Genomic DNA, 1,745 nt, shown 5'->3' with positions numbered 1-1,745 from the left:
GTCAACCGTTATGTGGTGGCACTTTCCTTACCCCTACTTTACAGATGGGAAACTGGGACTCAGAGAGGGTAAGTAATTTGTCCAAGATCACACAACTAGTGAGAGGCTGGGAGGCAAACGCAGGGACTCTGGTTGCACTTTTCCACCACTCTGCTGAACAGATGCTCCTAAGGAAGCAATGACAAAGACAACTGTGATGAGAACTTACTGGAATAATGACCTTAAGAAAGTTATTTCATACCTCTGAGGCCCACTGTCCTCATTTATAAAATGGGAACACCACGAGAGCTGAGTTCCCTGGTGCTAAGAATTGCCAGCGGGTTAAACACCAGCTCATGCAGCCAGCCCAGGAACCAGTGACTGCTGTCCTTCCCAGGCTTTTTTAGCTTCCAGGAGAGGGATGGCTGCTGCTATCAGCAATGCCTGGAATCCTCACCATGAAGGGAAAGGAAGCACAAAGGGCTGGGGTTGAAAGTCACAGACAGCCCCCTGGGAGCCCAGTCCTCTGTGGTAAGGCTGCCTTCCAGCTTGGCATTTTCTCCTTGCACTTCTATGGCCAAGCACTAAAAATAGCCTGCAATGGCTCTGCAGCCAGCGGAGTTCCCCACCAAAGACTCTCGCCCTTTATGGGCGGTGATCATCAGCTTCCTTCTGACTGCCATTGGCAATTAAAGCACAGATTATCTCGGCAGAGGCTGTTCCAGAACCCAGGCTGAGCCTGCGAGTCACGAGGGAGGCCACTGATCCAGCTCCCAGCTGAGTGGTCTCCAGGCCAGCTGCACAGCCAGAGGTTGGCCAGCATCCTGTCTGTAAGAAGACTGGGGGTGGAAGTGGGGGAGATGGGTGGAGAAACCAGGTCACAAGAAGAAAGGGAGCTGGGGCCAGAAGAGAGAAAATTAAGGAGCCTAGGTGCTTTCTTCCAAACCAAGAACAGTCTTAAGCCAGAACAAAGCGGACAAGTCAGAGGCAGGAGAATGCTAATTAGCACGGTCCTACCAGCCACCCATCACTGGTAGGCCATGTCCTATAGATGTGCATGTTGTGCACATCACCAAGGTACCCAGGCCAGGGTGGTAAGTGAGGCTGAAACCTGCAAACTGGGTCGCTTAAAAGAAGGGGTAACTTTACCTAATTCACAAAAGGTACTCTATGGATTAGACTTGGCCCTGATCATTGGATATCTACTGTGTACCTGGAAGAGTGTTAGGTATGTTCTGTTCTCTCATTTAATCCTCACCTCAGCCCTTCCAGGTAGGTCTTATTTCCCCATTTTGCTAACAGCCAGAGTTTAGTCACATGCTCAGGTAGACAGACCTAGTAAGTAGCGAAAATGGATTTCGATCCCTGATCCTACCAAGTAAAAAGCCTATGCCATTAGCACTCCACCACTGGAGTTAGTTGTAACAACAATCATCATTTGATTATTTTGCCAGCCATTGTGTTAAACATTTTACATCCATTCGGTTCTCTAAATAACCACTCAAAGTAGGAAAGGTCATCTCCATGTTGTAGATGAAGAAAGCAGAGGTACAGGCAGGTTAAGTACATTGTTCAAGGTCACCCGTAAATGGCCAAACTGGGATTCAAACCCAGGTTTCTCTGACTTGACAGCCCTACTCCTAACAACTGTAACCCAAAGGCCATCTGAAGTCCATTAGTTAGTCCTGTAGGAACTACACAGAAATGGACCTGAATGCCCCTCATTTATACCTGAGCCCTCTCCAGACGCCCCTACTTCACAGCTG

At 48.8% G+C, this 1,745-nt stretch overlaps 1 annotated feature.

Moving 5' to 3' along the window:
* Nucleotides 239-738: an enhancer, noted in NCBI's record as "H3K4me1 hESC enhancer chr11:79214125-79214624 (GRCh37/hg19 assembly coordinates)". NCBI's record gives its function as "activates a minimal SCP1, AML or CMV promoter by ChIP-STARR-seq in primed H9 embryonic stem cells {active_cell/tissue: H9 hESC(primed)}" and the evidence as "EXISTENCE:reporter gene assay evidence [ECO:0000049][PMID:30033119]".

The sequence above is a fragment of the Homo sapiens genome, chromosome 11 (assembly GCF_000001405.40).
Source record: "Homo sapiens chromosome 11, GRCh38.p14 Primary Assembly".
NCBI lineage: Eukaryota > Metazoa > Chordata > Mammalia > Primates > Hominidae > Homo > Homo sapiens.
This window is presented reverse-complemented; position numbering and strand designations above follow the sequence as displayed.